The 19,332-nt window shown below is 38.4% G+C and overlaps 1 long non-coding RNA gene across 1 annotated transcript in view, besides 1 other annotated feature; it reads right to left on the minus strand.

Annotated features, from left to right (window-relative positions):
* The window catches only part of MIR4300HG (MIR4300 host gene), a 524,063-nt gene that overhangs the window by 134,221 nt on the left and 370,510 nt on the right, over positions 1 to 19,332 (minus strand). Inside the window, exon 6 of the long non-coding RNA NR_120571.1 lies at positions 1,537 to 1,663. This is a non-coding gene — a long non-coding RNA (MIR4300 host gene). The remainder of the gene's footprint in view (positions 1 to 1,536; positions 1,664 to 19,332) is intronic.
* Positions 11,168 to 11,711: an enhancer, noted in NCBI's record as "OCT4-NANOG hESC enhancer chr11:81736281-81736824 (GRCh37/hg19 assembly coordinates)". NCBI's record gives its function as "activates a minimal SCP1, AML or CMV promoter by ChIP-STARR-seq in naive H9 embryonic stem cells {active_cell/tissue: H9 hESC(naive)}" and the evidence as "EXISTENCE:reporter gene assay evidence [ECO:0000049][PMID:30033119]".

Raw genomic sequence — 19,332 nt, forward strand, 5'->3', positions numbered from 1 at the left:
ATACAATTTACAAAGCACTTTACATATGCAGTATCCTCTAGAAAGCATATGACAGCTACATTATGTAGATATTATCATCATAATTAACATACAAGTGAGGATACTGAAACTTAGAAAGGGTAAGCAAATTGCCAAACTGGCAAGTAACAATGCGAGGATTCAATTCTGTATTTGTACTCTTTTTATTTGTCCATTTAATTGTCTATTTATTTAATTATTGCAGAAATATTTATTGATATCTTACTGTGTGCTAAGGTGCTGAGTGCTTGGTATTTAAAAGCCAAGAAGCATAGTGCTGATTTTTAAAGAAGTCATAGATCAATATGGGGATAGAGTTTTAAAGAAGTAATTCCAATTACGTACGATGAATTTAAAAGAGTAGATAATTGAGAAATTAGACGAGATACATGAAAAAATAATCAACTTTGCTTAGATTATCAGCCAAAAATTAGAGTTTTTATTCAATGGGTAGTTACTATGGTATTAAGTCCTTTAAAGGTATTATTTCATGTAATCCTAAATATATTGTATGTATTAGGGATTTTTATCTCATTTTCTAAATGATTAACCTAAGGTGCAGAGCAGTGATAACAAGTCATGGTTGCACAGCTAGTAAGTAATGAGAACTACGTCTGTTTGCTTCCAAAGCTCCAGCCCACAACCATTATATATATTGTATCTGAGACAGTCTTCCAGGAGGAGATGCTTTGGCTTGGTACTGAAGACTGCAGGTGTTTATTCACTAGACATGTTGGGAATGATACTTCAGGAGAAGAGAGCAGCATGCACAAACTCTAGAGGTTGGAGACAAGCCCCTGGGTCTGTGGAGCCCCGTGGAGTTCAGTATTGTTGATTTATTACCACCCTTGAAGGGTGTTGAGCTGTGAGGCTGAAGAGATAGCCCTTGACCATATCACAGGCTGTCCTAAAAAGCCTACAAGATGAGTGGGTGTGGTTCAGAATCACTAAAAGATCTAGGCCTCCAAAGTACATAGTAGGATTACTACTTTGGAGTAATTAAACTGTAACATTGTGATTCAGTCTAGCTTCTGTAGCTAACCAGTAATTCACCCAATTAAGACATATTCTTACATTTCTTAAAACATGTCCTTAAGGAATACGGAAATGAACAGAATAGGAAGTTTGGTGGAAATAATACAACACAGATGCTGTTCAGTTAGGCAAGCCTTCTTGCTTCCTCTAATTTTTTTTCTCTAATGAGAAATGCTAGTCATGAATATAATCTGCACTGGTCACCAAAATTTGTGAACATCCCATATAGCTTCATATCAAACTGTGTAGTACATTGTGAAAGGCAAGAAACATACACTTAGTTATTTATTATACCCACCCCTAATCACCCTTTGAGGACCTAACCCTCCCGGTGTGTTGGCATAGTAGTAGCAGGTTTTTTTGTAGCACAGATGTCAGTCTGATACTGACTGCTTCCTTACAACAATTTAGGGAAGGGAAGGAAGGCCTCAGGCTTGGACTTGCTTACTGAAAACAGGACTGGTGCTGGGGGAGCTGACTGACCTGCAGATCTTGAAGGAAGGTTGAGTCTGACTGAGGGTTATGGTCATAACAAGGTGTGGTCCAGGCAAACAATGGGTGTCCAGGATGAAATGGTAGTTATTGTCCACAGGGGAAAGAGCACAGAGGCCTGGAAGAGGAGGAGAAAGACTAGGTATCTAAGTGTTCAGGCAATCAACTGTTGGAAGGCTGGTCAGAACAGGGCTGGAATTTCATGCCTAAATATTGTCCTCTGCCTCCAGCCTAATGTTTTTACTTTTCTTTTTCTTTTCTTCAGAGATAGGGTTTTGCTCTGTCACCCAGGCTGGAGAGCAGTGGTGTGATCAATGCATGCTGTAAACTCAAATTCCCGGCTGTGATTGATTTCTCTGCCTCAGCCTCCTGAGTAGCTGGGACTACAGGTGCATGCCACAACACTTGGCTAAATTTATTTTTTATAGAGATAAGGTCTCGCTACATTGCCCAGGCACTGGTCTTAAACCCCCAGCCTCAAGTGATCTTCCCACTTTGGTCTGCTAAAGTGCTAAGATTACAGCTGTGAGCCCCAGAGCCTGGCTCCTCCAGTCTAATTTCCGACTGCCAGGAAGCAGTCTCATATTCCATTTCCAGTGAGAAGACAGTTACTGCTCTGACCAAAACACGGCTTCTTTTGTTTGTTTCACATGCCTAAAAAAAATGGCCATACGTAAATTCCACATGGTTCATTAATTATTCTCCAATTCATGTTTCTCACATGTTTTGCTACATTAAGTTTCCTAAGGAAGTTCCAGTCATCATTTTTCTGCTCCAGATCTTCCCGAGTATTCACTGCCTTCTACAATATGACTGCAGTTTTAGTCTAATTTCTATTGTTTTCCCACAGACAGGTATCATATATAGTATTTTATCATCAAAGTAGATCATTTTCACCACCACCTCATGTTTATCTCAGGCTTTGCTCTTGTTGTGACTTTGCTTATATTTTCCCTAGATCTCTAGAAGTGCTAATTCTACTCATTAATTCTTCAAGGAGCTCTTTTCATGAAGCATCTCCTTATCTGTATCTAACTGATTATCTCTTCTTTTGAAATTTATTTTATTTACACTTACTACTTCTACAGAACCAAAGTTTCTCATAAATAATCAAGAAAAGTATACTCCATGAAGAAAAATACATAAAGGCTTATTTTTAAGATAAAAGGTATTTTGGTTTTAATATTATCTACAGACCCGATACTCCATAAGATGCATTGGTAGAGAAAATAGTACTTTTTCAATAACTTCTCAAAAGTATATACTGTGGTTTTATTTTGCAAACTTACTCCAAAACTTGTGTGGTCCTGCTTTGCTGAAAGGGTTAATGAAGCTAAGTCCAGGCTCAATGAAGAGGAAACCCATCATTTATTAGTTATGTCTGCCGTGGACAGTATGACCTGGGGAAACAAACTGGAAGCAAGAAGGCCAAGTACTTATTGTCACTGAATAAAATAGTAAAATAATAGGTTATGTGCTGGGGTCATGAAGTAAGGGAACCAAGAAGGGAGCATAAGTTGGTGGAAGGAATGCACTCTGGGTCCCTTGACAGCCTCTATTTCTGGCTCACTCTCTGATCATGGGGAAATGACATAACCTTGCTTTGAAGCTGTGGAGTGAGTAGTTCTATCCAGTGATCTCTAAGGTATCTTCTATCTCTAACCATGTTTTAAGGTTCTTTTTCTAATTAGTATGTTCAGTGACAAGATATATTGGTGATCATTAATTATTTGTTTCTAAATATCACACCATTCATTGACCTGTCATTGTCTAAACACATCAAAAGCATCCCAAATCATAATCATCTCATCTGCAGTTAATATCACCTCATATGAAAGATGAAATGTTAACATTGTGCTTTAAGTAGTATGAATGATTAGGTTAAAAAGGCTGTTAGACTCAAGATCTGAAATACACGTTCACATACATACATTTGCGAAATTTAGATGCTTATGACAGCTGACATGATAGAAACTATAACTTCAAATTTTTCAAATACATATGAGAACTGGAAAAATTATGAATTAGAAGCACCAGCATTAAACAAATATTTAGTGTTTTTAATTTGGAAAATGTTACAATAGTTACTATAAGAGGTGTAAAGGAGAGTTCTGAATTACTAGTTAGCTAACAGCCTAATCATACAGACATGACATTTTCATCAAATTCAATTCATGAAAACAATGCACAAATACTATATACCAAGCATTGTATAAGCTATTCAGGACATGGTCATGAACAGATAAATATTGATCCTGTACTCACAGAGACTACAAATAAAGGGCTCTTAAAAATCGATTATTTAAAACCCTTAAATGAAGAAACAGAGATACAGAGGAATTAACTACTTTCTAAGATCAAAATTGTAGTTAAGTGAAAGAGTCAAGTTAATAACATATGTCTTGGAGTTCTGGTCCAATACTGCTTCTATGGCTCACATGGTAATATGATTATTTAAATTAAAGTATACTTTATGTACAGTGAAATGCACAGGTCCTAATTTTAAAAGCTACTGTTTTGGAAAAGTATATGTGTGTGTATCCAACAACCTAAAGACGTTATAGAACACTTATATTACCTTAGAAAGTTTTTTCATGCCTCTTTCAACTAATCTTCACCCTCTCCACAGGCAACTATTTTTCTAATTTGTATCACCATAAATTACTTTTGCTTCTTGAGTATTTTATAAATCATACATATGTCTATTATCCATTTGAGGGATGTTGGATGGCTCTAATATTTTTGTGTTGTTTTTGCTAATACAATTAGAGCTGCTATAAACATTTTGTATGAGTTGTTTTATGGCCATACATTTTCATTCCTCCTTAGTAAAGAACTAGGAGTATAATTGGGTGATTGGAGTAGGCTTATTTTTAATTTTCAAAAAAAACCCACCAGTTTTCCAAAGTAGCTACTCTATTTGATAGTCCTACCAGCAGTAGCAAGAGTTTCAGCTATTCTTGCCAATTTTTGTTTACAGTCTTTTTAATTTTAGCTATTTTCCTAAGTGTGAAATGGAATCTCATTGTGGTTTTAATTTGCATTTTTCCTGATAATTAATCATGTTGAGCATCATTTCATGAGCTTATTCTTCCTTCATATACCTTCTTTTGCGAAGTTTCTATATTCAAAATTTTTCTCATTTAAGCATTGAATTCATTTTGTCTTTTTAACTTGTAGGATTTGTTTAAATATTCTAAATATAATTATATATATTATATATAATGATTGTGTATATAAATGTGTATACATATATAGATATTCCCAGTCAGCAAGCTTCACACACACACACGCACACACACACACACACACAGCCTTCTTATTTTTCTAAATCTACTGTTTATCATTAAATAATTATTTTTATTATTTTTTATTTCTGACAAAGCCCAAAATCCTATTTCTAATCATTTTATTAGTCATTGTTTCCCTTTCTCAACAACTTTTGCCATCCCAAGATTGTAAAGATATTTTCCTATGTTTTCTTTTAGTTTTTCTAATTTTATTTTTATGCTTTAGGTTACAGCCTCAGCAACAGAAAGTCAAAAAATGCCAGTACTTTACATAAACTCTGCCTCGTACGTGGAAGAAGCATGGCTGGAACTGACAGACTTCAGTGCACACTGCTATGGGAAATGGAGTGAATAGAGCATTAACTAAAAGACATATGGCATCACTTAGACAAAGTACCTTATTGGGAGGTCAAGATGGTGATAGTTAAAGAGGACATTTGATTTTAATATGCCTCCTTCTTACAACCTCTCAATGGTAAGCTAAAAATGATAAACATAACCATAATATTACATTATATTAATAAAGTGAAAACTACTATTGTTTATGTATTTGCTTTTGTTTTTATATTTAATGTTTATATATAATTATATACATAATATCATGATGTTGTTATATATAGTGCTTTCATATAATGTCAAATGACTAGATTGATTTTATTTAAAAATCAAAACAACAATCAAAACAGCCTGTTTTATTAAAATTGACCATTACTTGCTTGAACTACTACTATGTCCATTAGGCAGTTTAGAGACCATCATTAATGATAACAACATTAAAACACACACACACACACACACACACATACACTTGGAATAAATCCCTCCAGTGACAGAGTATGTATTCTAGTATACTTTGTGTCTTCAAAATTTTGCCCTAGTATGGGAATGCACTATTAAGTCCCATATTATTTATTGATTGCTAAATGGGTATTAATAAAAATAGGGATCACACATTTGCACAATGCCTTAAGTTTCCAAAGCTCATGTTTATTTGACTCCCATAAAGGTAGAATTACTTTGTAGAAGGTAGTAGACTACATTTGTAGTCTTTGTAGAAGACTTGGTAGAATGACCATTTATTTCAATTATTTTATCAAAAAGGCAAAATCCAAAAGAGTTAGATGACTTACATAAGTACAGAAAACATTCAGTAGTAGAGCCAGAACTTAATTATAGATCTTCATAGCTCAAAGCTTTGTCTCATGGATGTGAAATTCTGAATGTGATTGACTTGTGGAATCACATTCTGACTTCTGACTGTTTTGAAGAGGGATGTACCATTCATATCATTTACAGTCACTAATTTATAGTAAATCCATTTTATCATATATGGAACACCTATTGACCAGTCAATCCTTGAGCCCTTTGTTGCAATGGATTAAAAGGCTATATCTGGGCTTGGCAGAAACGAGCAGTAGAATTATAGTCATGCATCACCTGATAGGGATACCTTCTGAGGAATGCATCTTCATTATGCGACTTTGTCATCATGCAAACACTATAGAGTGCACTTATGCAAACCTGGATGGTATAGCCTAATACACACCTAGGCTATACGGTAAACTCTATTGCTTCCAAGCTACGAATCTGTACAGCATGTTACTGTACTGAATACTGTAGGCGATTACAACACAATGCTAAGTAATTTGTGTATCCAAACATAGAAAAGGTATAGTAAAAATATGGTATTATTATCTTATGGGGCTACAGTCATATATGCATTTCATCATTAACTGAAATGTTACTATGCAATACATGACTATAGTGATATTGTCTGTGGGTGTGAGAAAAATAACTCAGTTCAGGCTCTAACATATACTTGTCATCCCTATGATAAGGCATTGTCTTTTTAAGAAGACACACATTAAAAAGGATGTTGTTTAACCTATATAGTATGGTATCACCCATTCCCATATAGAGTGTGGCATTTGATGGATGATTAAAATATCACAGCATAATAGTTGCTGGCTTTTTAGGAAGGCATAGTGTGCACACTATAAACAATCCAGGAGAAGAAATGTTTCATGCCATTAAACTTACTCATTCAAAAGATACTGATTAAGCATAGAGTATGTAATCAAGCTGTTTTTTTTTCTAATTTCAATGATCACAAGTAACACCTCACTGAACATTTTTGTATATAGACTTTTTGTTAGCATTTTAGAATTTTTCTTTAGGATAGATTGTTATATAATAGCAACTTGATATATTCTACCAATATGATTTTCAAGAAGCTTTCATGTTAAAACATAGACATCATTAAAAATGATGATGTAATTGAAAGAATAACCGAAAGATATACAGTTTCTCTGTGGCAAAGGATGTAGAAAATAACTGTAAAAGGGCTGTACAAAGTGGGAAGCATTGCAACATGCTCTTGAATGAAGGTCTGTGTTTTCCATATGTGCCAAAGCTACCTGTTGGGGCATCCAGGTAACATTGATGCCATCTATCTGGAGTAAAGATTCAGCAATGTACGAGAAGCTCATATTCACTTTCTCAGCTTCCTTGCTGTTCTCGGCTGTTTTTGGAGAGTCGATGTGATTGCTATGCCAGCTTAGTCACTAGGTTTAAATAACTGGGGGAAAAAATGTTCAGTAGATTCTTGTGTTATCTATGAGAATGGTTGCTCACTTAGGGTCCATTTCTAAACTACAGTACACTTGCACTATTTTAAAGCTATATAATACACAAAGTTAAGTGATACACAATTAGTTGTTTTATGAGTTTCAGGTGATTAAAATACACAATAAATGCTACAGATGCAGGAGTGCAAGACAGAGGAAGACATAATCCTAGAACAGTACAACTGGACAATTGATGGTAGTAAAAGACAATAGGGACCACTAAGAACAAACTTTATAAGTCAGCAAACTCTAAGATCTGCAATAACTGTCTCTAAAACCTCAAAAGCCAACAGAGGGTAGTGGCAGGTGTATTAATAGCAAAGTGGTGATAATACTAAGACCTAATGTCAGATAATATGGATAATTTTCATGGGTCATCCTATTACTGTATGAAATTGAATACCTCACTTGGAATCTCTCAGTGACAGTTGCCTTGTCATATGAAAAAGTAACAATTGTCTACCTTTTCCTAATTTATGGACATTTTATAAGGATTAGAAACTTAAGCTATGTTAAAATGCTTTGTTGGCTGGGCATGGTGACTCACGCCTGCAATCCCAGCATTTGGGAGGCGGAGGCAGGTGGATCACCTGAGGTCAGGAGTTTAAGACCAGCCTGTCCAACATGGTGAAACCTCATCTCTACTAAAAATACAAAATTAGCCAGGCATGGTGGCACATGTCTGTAATCCCAGCTACTCGGGAGGCTGAGGCAGGAGAATCACTTGAACTTGGGAGACGGAGTTTGCAGTGAGCTGAGATCATGCCACTGCACTCCAGCCTGGGCAACAAAGGCAAAATTTCATCTCAAAAAAAAAATGCTTTGTCAACTGTTAACACTATATAAATATTTAGCACTCTCGTCTTGGCTCTACAGTCTACATCATTAGAGAGTTTTGAAGTTTGGGTGATTTTTGCTTTAACTGTTGATCATCAGTATACTTTGCTAGGCCTTCAAACTCTTATTACTGTCTTCTCCAGCTTCAACTCTCTTATCCCCTACATAGACAGAACTGTCCACACATATTTCATAACTTGTATATACTCAACCATGCCATATTTTGTTTCCATCCCTGAAATTCCTTACTTTTTCCATACTAGCTAACTTCTTTCTTACATGCTACAATTTAAATATACACTTCTCTTTGAATCTTCTCTGACTCATTTAACTGATTGTAACTACTTCTCCTCTGTGCCTCTATCCAACTTGGTATATACATATTTCTATTATCCAACCCATCATTTAATATTCATTAATGAATACACCATTCTTCTTATATTGTGAACTAATTAAAGAAATGCCTCATGCCTTATTTATTCAAGTAGGTCAATGCAAAATGAATGAATAATTATTTAATTATTGAATAAACAAGCTAAAAATCATGTTAAACTCAGGCCTATGTATTTTCTTGGTCACAGATTAGCAATCATTTACACTTCCTAGTTATTTCCTATGACTATATTTTATAGTTGTAATAAACAGATGCATCTGAAATGAATTTAAAACAAGATAAACAATGGGACCTCACTGCAAATGATGCTTGCCCAAACATGCCTGCTTTCATTCTCACTGGATGGTTAAAGTTTTGTGACATACATTCAGCCAAACATAATAAGCTACAAGATCGTTAAGACTTTAGCCACGTGTATTCCAGAACAAGAAACTTTGCCCTTGATGCTACAATTGATACTGGTAACATATTCAAGAATTTTTGTTTAAGTGCTGAGTTAAAATTATTTCTCATATCTGAGCCATACTGCAGAAGAAATATTGAATCAACTTTTCTTGCCCTCCTATCTGTCTACTATTTTCAGTTGTACTGTTTTACTTTTTTTTCTTCTTGTTGCACATTTCTCATTATTGATTCAAGCTTATATGGGGTTTTCTTGGTTATTGACTCTCAATACCTATGCTAATTTTGACAGTGACCATTCTAGAGCTGTCCAAAAGATTGTGGTCTTATGTCTATTAACTTATCTATATTAGTCCTACTGGCAAGACCAATTCTGTTGTGGGTTTATAATTATGAATATATGCCAGCCTGAAAGATTTATCTAATCTAACTAATTATTCTCATTTTGATTCCACGTTCACTGAACTGCCTTCTGGTTTGGATTTGGCTTCCATCCTATATCTATCTGCATGGGAAAGTGCCCTAATCATGTAAATGTGAATATTCCCATTCCTGCAACCTCTCTATTTTATTTTAATACTAGAATTATGAACATAGTGACTGGGAATCATTCACAGTGAGATGGCTCTGTGCACAATGTGCTGGCAAATGCAGCATTCTGAGTCTAGAAGATAACAGAGACAACATGTTAGATTTTCACCAAGCACATTGATGAGGAGCTGTATATTCATAACAGGATATTTTTTAAAATAATACTAACTTGTGGTTAAACTGGAAAATTCATATGAACTCATGACCTTAATGATCTGTCTTCCTAGGTGTCTTGCTAATTTCTGGCATCGTGGAAATTTCACCCATAAAAGCTTTCATGTAGAACAATCTGGTATGTGCTTGCAGCATCCTGAAATTAGTATTTGAATTTATTTTGCATTCAATGGAATTAAATCTTTTTGGAGATGATCCCATGCTTTGGAATAGAAAAAAAAAGGCAAGATGAACTCAGAATATCTTCTTGTTGCCAGAAATCAAAAATGATTTTATACTTTCCTGAGCAGTATCTTAAAAGACAGAATTTAGTTAAATGTGGTTCCCAACAGATAAGTTGTAATAAAGTATGCATCAATAAATGAATTTTAATTATAATTAATAAAATTGAGTTGAACCTATAAAAAACATGAGTTTATGATTATATGAAAAATGAAAAATTTCAAATAAACTTTACAATATGAAAATTCAATACAAAAGCAGAGCAAATACATTAAACCATAATAAGTAATTAATTTAGTAAGTAGGTGGATACTTAGATCACTTAAATACATACAATATTCTTAAATTATGATATACTTATTTTTCTATTTGTTTCAGCAAAAAAGGGTGATTTCAAGAAACAGTGAGTAAGTCATATAGCATCAACAACATGCAATAAAATTATAGATTACCTGTATAACCACAGAAGAAAGCTGTCTACATAAATTCAGTCACTAATCTCAAGTACAAAACTTCTGAATATCCCTAATAATTATAAAATAATAATAGTCAATTAAATTGTTAACTGAGGTGGACCACTCTCTAGCCAATATTTTATTGATATGGAAGCAAAGATGAGTCAGCCCCAGATCCTGAAACAAGGCATAAACTTGGAAAGTACCATTTATCTAGTAAGTAAACTTTTATTTAAGAAGAATCCAAGACCAATAAACACTGACTCAGGTTTCAGTCTACTTAGAAGATGTAAACAGATCCCTTGACACAACAAAGAATGAATAGGTCGATGAAATAGAATCTGCAATATCAGCTAGTTTGAGATTACATTCTGTTTGATCTGGGGATTGATAAAATTAGTGGACATAAATGAATAAAACTGTAACCTCAGGGATATATAAAATCATATTAGTATAGAGAAAATAATGAAACAAACAACCCACAGTATTGATAATTTGAAGCAGGCACTCTAAAAATTTTTGCATTAACTATTATATTTTTTGTGGTTTAAGGCATTTGGAGTATATAAAATAATTTGATACATTAGACTATGACTTCATTGAAGTGCTTTGAGATTTGACTAATTTTGTGTTCAATATCTAAATATTTAAGGGCTCAATTCACACAATTGATATTTAAGTACATTAATTATACTAACAAAGTTAACACTGCTCACTAGATTCATGATGTAAACAAAGGATGCACAGAAGGAAATATTCTTCTTCCTCTTAGTCTCCTAAGACTCTATACTGAGGGCTCTGTCAGGCCTCTGAGCTGAAGCTAAGCCATGGCATCCCCTGTGACCTGCACGTATACTCCCAGGTGGCCTGAAGTAACTGAAGAATCACAAAAGAAGTGAAAATGGCCTGTTCCTGCCTTAACTGATGACATTCCACCACAAAAGAAGTGAAAATGGCCAGTCCTTGCCTTAACTGATGACATTACCTTGTAAAATTCCTTTTCCTGGCTCATCCTGGCTAAAAAAGCTCCCCCACTGAGCACCTTGTGACCCCCACTCCTGCCCACCAGAGAACAACCCCCCTTTGACTGTAATTTTCCTTTACCTACCTAAATCTTATAAAACGACCCCACCCCATCTCCCTTCACTGATTCTCTTTTCAGACTCAGCCCGCCTGCACCCAGGTGAAATAAACAGCCTTGTTGCTCACACAAAGCCTGTTTGGTGGTCTCTTCACACAGACGCACGTAAAATTTGATGCCATGACTCGGATTGGGGGACCTCCCTTGGGAAATCAATACCCTGTCCTCCTGCTCTTTGCTCCGTGAGAAAGATCCACCTACGACCTCAGGTCCTCAGACTGACCAGCCCAAGGAACATCTCACCAATTTCAAATCTGGTAAGTGGCCTGTTTTTCTCTCTTCTCCAACTTCCCTCACTATCCCTAAACCTCTTTCTCCTTTCAATCTTGGTGCCACACTTCAATCTCTCCCTTCTCTTAATTTCAATTCCTTTCATTTTCTGGTAGAGACAAAGGAGACACATTTTATCCGTGGACCCAAAACTCTGGCGCCAGTCACGGACCCAGAAAGGCAGCCTTCCCTTGGTGTTTAATCATTGCGGGGACACCTCTCTGATTATTCACCCACGTTCCATTGGTGTCTGATCTCCACAGGGATGCCTGCCTTGATCATTCACCCACATTCCCTTGGTGGCAAGTCAATTGTGGGGACGCCTGCTTTGGCTGCTCACCTACGTTGCAGCCCAGGGCTGCTCCCCACACCCTTCTCCATGTCTCTACCCTTCTCTTTAAACTTGCCTCCTTCAATATGGGCAAACTTCCACCCTCCATTCCTCCTTCTTCTCCCTTAGCCTGTGTTCTTAAGAACTTAAAACCTCTTCAACTCTCCCCTAACCTAAAATCTAAGCATCTTATTTTCTTCTGCAACACCGCTTGGCCCCAATACAAACTTGACAATGGCTCTAAATGGCCAGAAAACGGCACTTTCAATTTCTGCATCCCACAAGATCTAAATAATTCTTGTTGTAAAATAGGCAAACGGTCTGAGGTGCTTGATGTCCAGGCATTCTTTTACACATCAGTCCCTCCTTATTCTCTGTTTCCAATGCAACTCGTCCCAAATCTTCCTTCTTTCCCTCCCGCCTGTCCCCTCAGTCCCAACCCCAAGTGTCGCTCAGTCTTTCCTCTTTCCGACCTTTTCTACAGACCCATCTGACCTCTCCCCTACTCCCCAGGCTGCTCCTTGCCAGGCTAAGCTAGGTCCCAATTCTTCCTCAGCCTCCGCTCCTCTACTCTATAATCCTTTTATCACCTCCCCTCTTCACACCCCTTCCAGCTTACAGTTTCGTTCTGCGACTAGCCCTCCCCCACCTGCCCAGCAATTTCCTCTTAAAAAGTGGCTGGAGCTAAAGGCATAGTCAAGGCTAATGCTCCTTTTTCTTTATCCGACCTCTCCCAAATCAGTTAACGTTTAGGCTCTTTCATCAAATATAAAAACCCAGCTCAGTTCATGGCTCGTTTGGCAGCAACCCTGAGACACTTTACAGCCCTAGACCCTAAAAGGTCAAAAGGTCGTCTTATTCTCAATATACACTTTATTACCCAATCCACTCCCGACATTAAATAAAACTCCAAAAATTAAATTCCAGCCTTCAAACCCCACAACAGGACTCAATTAACCTTGCCTTCAAGGTGTACAATAATAAAGTAGAGGCAGCCAAGTAGCAATGTATTTCTGAGTTGCAATTCCTTGCCTCCACTGTGAAACAAACCCCAGCCATATCTCCAACACACAAGAACTTCCAAACGCCTGAACCGCAGCTGCCAGGCATTCCTCCAGGCCCACCTCCCCCAGGAGCTTGTTACAAGTGCCAAAAATCTGGCCACTGGGCCAGGGAATGCCCGCAGCCTGGGATTCCTCCTAAGCCATGTCCCATCTGTGCGGGACCACACTGAAAATCGGACTGTTCAACTCACCTGGCAGCCACTCCCAGAGCCCCTGGAACGCTGGCCCAATGCTCTCTGACTGACTCCTTCCCAGATCTTCTCGGCTTAGCAGCTGAAGACTGACGCTGCCTGATTGCCTCAGAAGCCCCCTAGACGACCACAGATGCTGATCTTCAGGTAACTCTCACAGTGGTAGGTAAGACCGTACCCTTCTTAATCAATACGGAGGCTAGCCACCCCACATTACCTTCTTTTCAAGGGCCTGTTTCCCTTGCCTCCATAACTGTTGTGGGTATTGACGGCCAGGCTTCTAAACCCCTTAAAACTCCCCAATTCTGGTGCCAACTTAGACAATACTCTATTAAGCATTCCTTTTTAGTTATCCCCATCTGCCCAGTTCCCTTATTAGGCTGAGACACTTTAACTAAATTATCTGCTTCCCTGACTATTCCTGGGCTACAGCCACACCTCATTGCCACCTTTTACCCCAGTTCAAAGCCTCCTTCACATCCTCCCCTTCTATCTCCCCACCTTAGCCCACAAGTGTAGGACACCTCTACTCCCTCCTTGGCAACCAATCATGCACCCCTTACCATCTCATTAAAACCTAATCACCCTTACCCTGATCAACGCCAATATCCCTTCCTGAAGCACGCTTTAAAAAGATTAAAGCCTATTATCACTTGCCTGGTATAGCATGGTCTTTTAAAGCCTATAAACTCTCCTTACAATTCCCCCATTTTACCTGTCTTAAAACCAGACAAGCCTTACAGGTTAGTTCAGGATGTGAGCCTTATCAACCAAATTGTTTTGCCTATCTGCCCCGTGGTGCCAAACCCATATACTCTCCTATCTTCAATACCTCCCTCCACAACCCATTATTCTGTTCTGGATCTCAAACATGCTTTCTTTACTATTCCTTTGCACCCTTCATCCCAGCCTCTCTTCGCTTTCACTTAGACTGACCCTGACACCCATTAGGCTCAGCAAATTACCTGGGCTGTAGTGCTGCAAGGCTTCACAGACAGCTCCCATTACTTCAGTCAAGCCCAAATTTCTTCCTCATCTGTTACCTATCTCAGCCTAATTCTCTTGAAAACACATGTGCTCTCCCTGCTGATCATGTCCAACTAATCTCCCAAACCCCAATCCCTTCTACAAAACAACTCCTTTCCTTCGTAGGCATGGTTAGTGTGGTCAGAATTCTTACACAAGAGCCAGGACTGCGCCCCGTAGCCTTTCTGTCCAAACAAGTTGACCTTACTGTTTTAGCCTAGCCCTCATGTCTGCGTGCAGCGGCTGCCACTGCCTTAATAGTTTTAGAGGCCCTCAAAATCACAAACTATGCTCAACTCACTCTCTGCAGTTCTCATAATTTCCAAAATCTATTTTCTTCCTACCTGACGCATATACTTTCTGCTCCCCAGCTCTTTCAGGTGTACTCACTCTTTGTTGAGTCTCCCACAATTACTATTCCTGGCCCGGACTTCAATCTGGCCTCCCACATTATTCCAGATACCACACCTGACCCTCATGAGTGTATCTCTCTGATCCACCTGACATTCACCCCATTTCCCCACATTTCTTTCTTCCCTGTTGCTCACCTTGATCACATTTAGTTTACTGATGGCAGTTCCACCAGGCCTAATCGCCACTCACCAGCAAAGGCAGGCTATGCTATAGTACAAGCCACCAGCCCACCTCTTAGAACCTCTCATTTCCTTTCCATCGTGGAAATCCATCCTCAAGGAAATCACTTCTCAGTGTTCCATCTGCTATTCTACTACTCCTCAGGGATTATTCAGGCCCCTCCCTTCCCTACACATCAAGCTCAGGGATTTGCCCCCGCCCAGGACTGGCAACTCTTAACTCACTCTTAGAGTGGATAGATGATCTTTGCTGGCAGGGGACCCTTCAATAGTTTCACCCTGATGAAGTTCTCTTCTTTACTTTTATACTCACTCTTATTCTCATTCCCATTCTTATGCCACCCTTTACCTCTCCCCAGCTATCTCCACCACACTATCAACCTTACTCATTCTCTCCTAGCCACTTCTAATCCTTCCTTAGTGAACAACCACTGGCTTTGCATTTCCCTTTCTTCCAGCTCCTACACAGTTGTCCCCGCCTTACATGCAGACTAGGCAACATCTCCTGTCTCCCTACACCTCCCAACTTCCTTTAACAGCCCTCACCTTTACCCTCCTGAAGAACTCATTTACTTTCTAGACAGGTCCAGGAAGACCTCTCCAAACATTTCACATCAGCAAGCTGCTGCCCTCCTCCGCGCTTACCTAAAAAACCTTTCTCCTTATATCAACTCTACTCCCCCCATATTTGGACCTTTCACAACACAAACTACTATTCCTGTGGCTGCTCCTTTATATTTCTCTCAGCAAAGACCCACTGGAATTCCCCTAGGTAACCTTTCACCTTCTCAATGTCCATTTACTCCTCATCTCCAAAGCCCACCTACACACATCACTGAAACAATTGGAGCCTTCCAGCTCCGTATTACAGACAAGCCCTCTATCAATACTGGCAAACTTAAAAACATTAGCAGTAATTATTGCTTAGGAAGACACTTACCCTGTATTTCACTCCATCCTTGGCTACCTTCCCCTTACTCGTCAGACTCTCCTCCCAGGCCCTTTTCTTGTTTACTTATACCCAGCCCTGAAAATAACAGTGAAAGGTTGCTCGCAGACACTCGAACAAAACCGTATCCAGGCCATCACCAACAATTCTACATGACAAATGTTTCTTCTAACAACCCCACAATGTCACCCCTTACCACAAAATCTTCCTTCAGCTTAATCTCTCCCACTCTACGTTCCCATGCCGCCCCAATCCCGCTCGAAGCAACCCTGAGAAACATCACACATTATCTCTCCATACCACCCCCCCAAAAATTTTTTTTCACTGCCCCAACACTTCAATACTATTTTATGTTATTTTTCTTATTAATATAAGAAGGCAGGAATGTCAGGCCTCTGAGCCGAAGCTAAACCATCGCATCGCCTGTGACCTGCAGGTATATGCCCAGATGGCCTGAAGTACCTGAAGAATCACAAAAGAAGTGAAAATGGCCTGTTCCTGCCTTAACTGATGACATTCCACCACAAAAGAAGTGAAAATGGCCAGTCCTTGCCTTAACTGATGACATTACCTTGTAAAATTCCTTTTCCTGGCTCATCCTGGCTCAAAAAGCTCCCCCACTGAGCACCTTGTGACCCCCACCCCTGCCCGCCAGAGAACAACCCCTTTTGACTATAATTTTCCTTTACCTACCCAAATCCTATAAAACCCAAATCCCCCACCTTTATCTCCCTTCGCTGACTCTCTATTCAGACTCAGCCCGCCTGCACCCAGGTGAAATAAACAGCCGTGTTGCTCACACAAAGCCTGTTTGGTGGTCTCTTCACACAGACGCGCATGAAACTAACCCTGATAAATCAATGCCTAAGTGGTCTTCATACCACGTGAAGCTCCTTTTGGACCACTCAACTGTCTAAATCATGAGGTAGTTGGGATGAGGAATTATAATTTAGTACTATAGTTAAATAAATTAAATTTATCTCTTGAACATAAGGATTTTCCTTACATCATTCTTTCAAGTAAAGTTTTATTTGTATTTTTATCTAACTCAATGTGATTATCATTTACTTCCTAACCAAAGAGAGACTAGAAAATTATGAGCTTTTATTCTTTGCTACTCAGTGACCTAGAAAGACAAAGCAAAATTTGAAATGAAAACCCCCTAAATTCCTTATGCTACACACCCTGTGCCTCCCAGAGAATGGTAAATCCAGTCTTTTTTTTTTTTTTTTTTGGTCCCTTAGGACAATTTTCTGTGACTCTGTGTACACTGGAAACAAAATTGGTTAGTTATTGTTAGATAAATTTGTTGGGTAAATCCAGTAAAAATAAACCACGTATATTATCTGGAACACATATCACCTCCACTCTTGTTTCTGTCCTCATCGTATAAGTTTTGCCACTTGAAGTTGTTCATCCTTCATGAAATCTTTCATGCATAACTCAACTCTTCCTCTTGACTTAATCTCTCAAAAGTAGTACAGGAGCTTTTAGAAATACATTCTCTTGAGGGCAAGTACTATATCTCCTGCTTCTCCAGTTCATTCTATACCCCACTCACCCAAGATAGTGTGCTGGTTAGTAAGCCACTGAAGCCCCACTCAAGGCTCACCCTTCTGTATTCTGCCTAACCATAAAAAAGCAGGAACGGTACCAACCACACTTCTTTCCCTGCTGTTTTTCTGCAGATAGGCCTGCCATTTGCCTGCAGATACACTCGGCAGAGACAGATGATAGGGTGAAAAATCTAAGTATTGAGAAGGGAGAAGGAACTTGCACTGGCTGGTTTTGTTTGCTGCTTCTGTTAGTGTCACCAACAACATTTCTTCACCCTGGCTGCAGCAATGTATTCCACTTCCAATTTTCTTCCCATGCTCCAAGGATCAGCTTCATTTCGCTATCTCAGAGATGCAAGTTCTAGCTGTCAGTGACCTCAAATATTTGAAGTATCAGAATCAGCTAGGAAAAGTCTGTTCTTAGAGTTCTGCTGGCCCCTCTTCAAGTTCCTAAAGGCTAGCAGCTGGAAAGGACCCCTTCTTCAGAAATCTGTATCACAGGTTGTTAGGTGCCAGTAACTCTGACATTTTCCCATTTTGTCTCTACCCTTAGAGTTGGTAGATGCTTTCTTCAATAGTTCTCTCTATGTTATCTTTATGAAAAAGACACTTAAGAAAATTTAAAAAAAAGTGGAAGGTGATCCAAAAAAGTAATGAATATAGGCTGAGATTTTACAGCCTGCTCAAAAAAAAGGGGGCTATTCATGGTGTGGTCTCCCCTGAACCTAAATACAAGGTTCAGAAACTTAGTAAACAGGGAGCCAATAGGCAATGACCTGGCATCACCCCCATGGACACAAAACAGCTAATACTATTTTCTTTTTAAAGATAACTGGGGCATGCAGAGCCTTAATTTCCATAGGCAGGATTCCTTTTCTGCCTTTTCAGTTTTCCAGTACTTGTTTATACAGTTGCCTACATTAAATTTTATATCTTAAAATAACTAGTGTGGTTTCTAAAACCTGCCCGTACCCTAATTGATATACTCAGTGTCTGGAATGTTGTAGGGAACCAAAACATGTGTTGCTCCAGTCTTCTCAACTTCAAGGGGCTTCATGATTTGTTGAATCAAAGTTTTACTTCATTCTGGAGACTTTAATCATGCAAAGTCCTGAGGAAAAATGAAAGTTTACCAGGAATTGTTGCCACATAAAATCTATGTGCATTTCAAGGAAGAAAAAAGAAAGTTTTAAAGTTTTGGAATTCGAGCTCACAACTTAAGCGCAAGACTGAAATAATACAAAATATCAAATACATACTCATTGATAAGGGATCTGAATATATGCTTGCTCAATCTGCCATGAGGTAAGCAGCATTCCTGCATGTAGCCACCCAAAAACTTTTCAGGGTTAAGTGATTCAGTTCTGGTAGAAAGGAATCCACAATCCAGGAACCTTTCTTTATTAATGTGAAGATAATATTTGGGCGTGTTCCCATTTGGGCATGTTCCCACCATAACTAATATGGATTTTTATGTAAGTGTGCAGGCAATTTATGTATATTATCTGACTTAATATTGGTGAAACTCTTTCAAGCTTAAGTATTATATGCATCTGATAGATAAGGAAATCATATTTCTGATTGATTCAGCAAAGTGACCCGAAATCCCCAATTTGGAAGTGCCAGAACCAGAAGTTCAACTCAGGTCTGTCTTATTCCCACTTTTTTACTTTG

Source organism: Homo sapiens, chromosome 11 (assembly GCF_000001405.40).
Source record: "Homo sapiens chromosome 11, GRCh38.p14 Primary Assembly".
Lineage (NCBI taxonomy): Eukaryota > Metazoa > Chordata > Mammalia > Primates > Hominidae > Homo > Homo sapiens.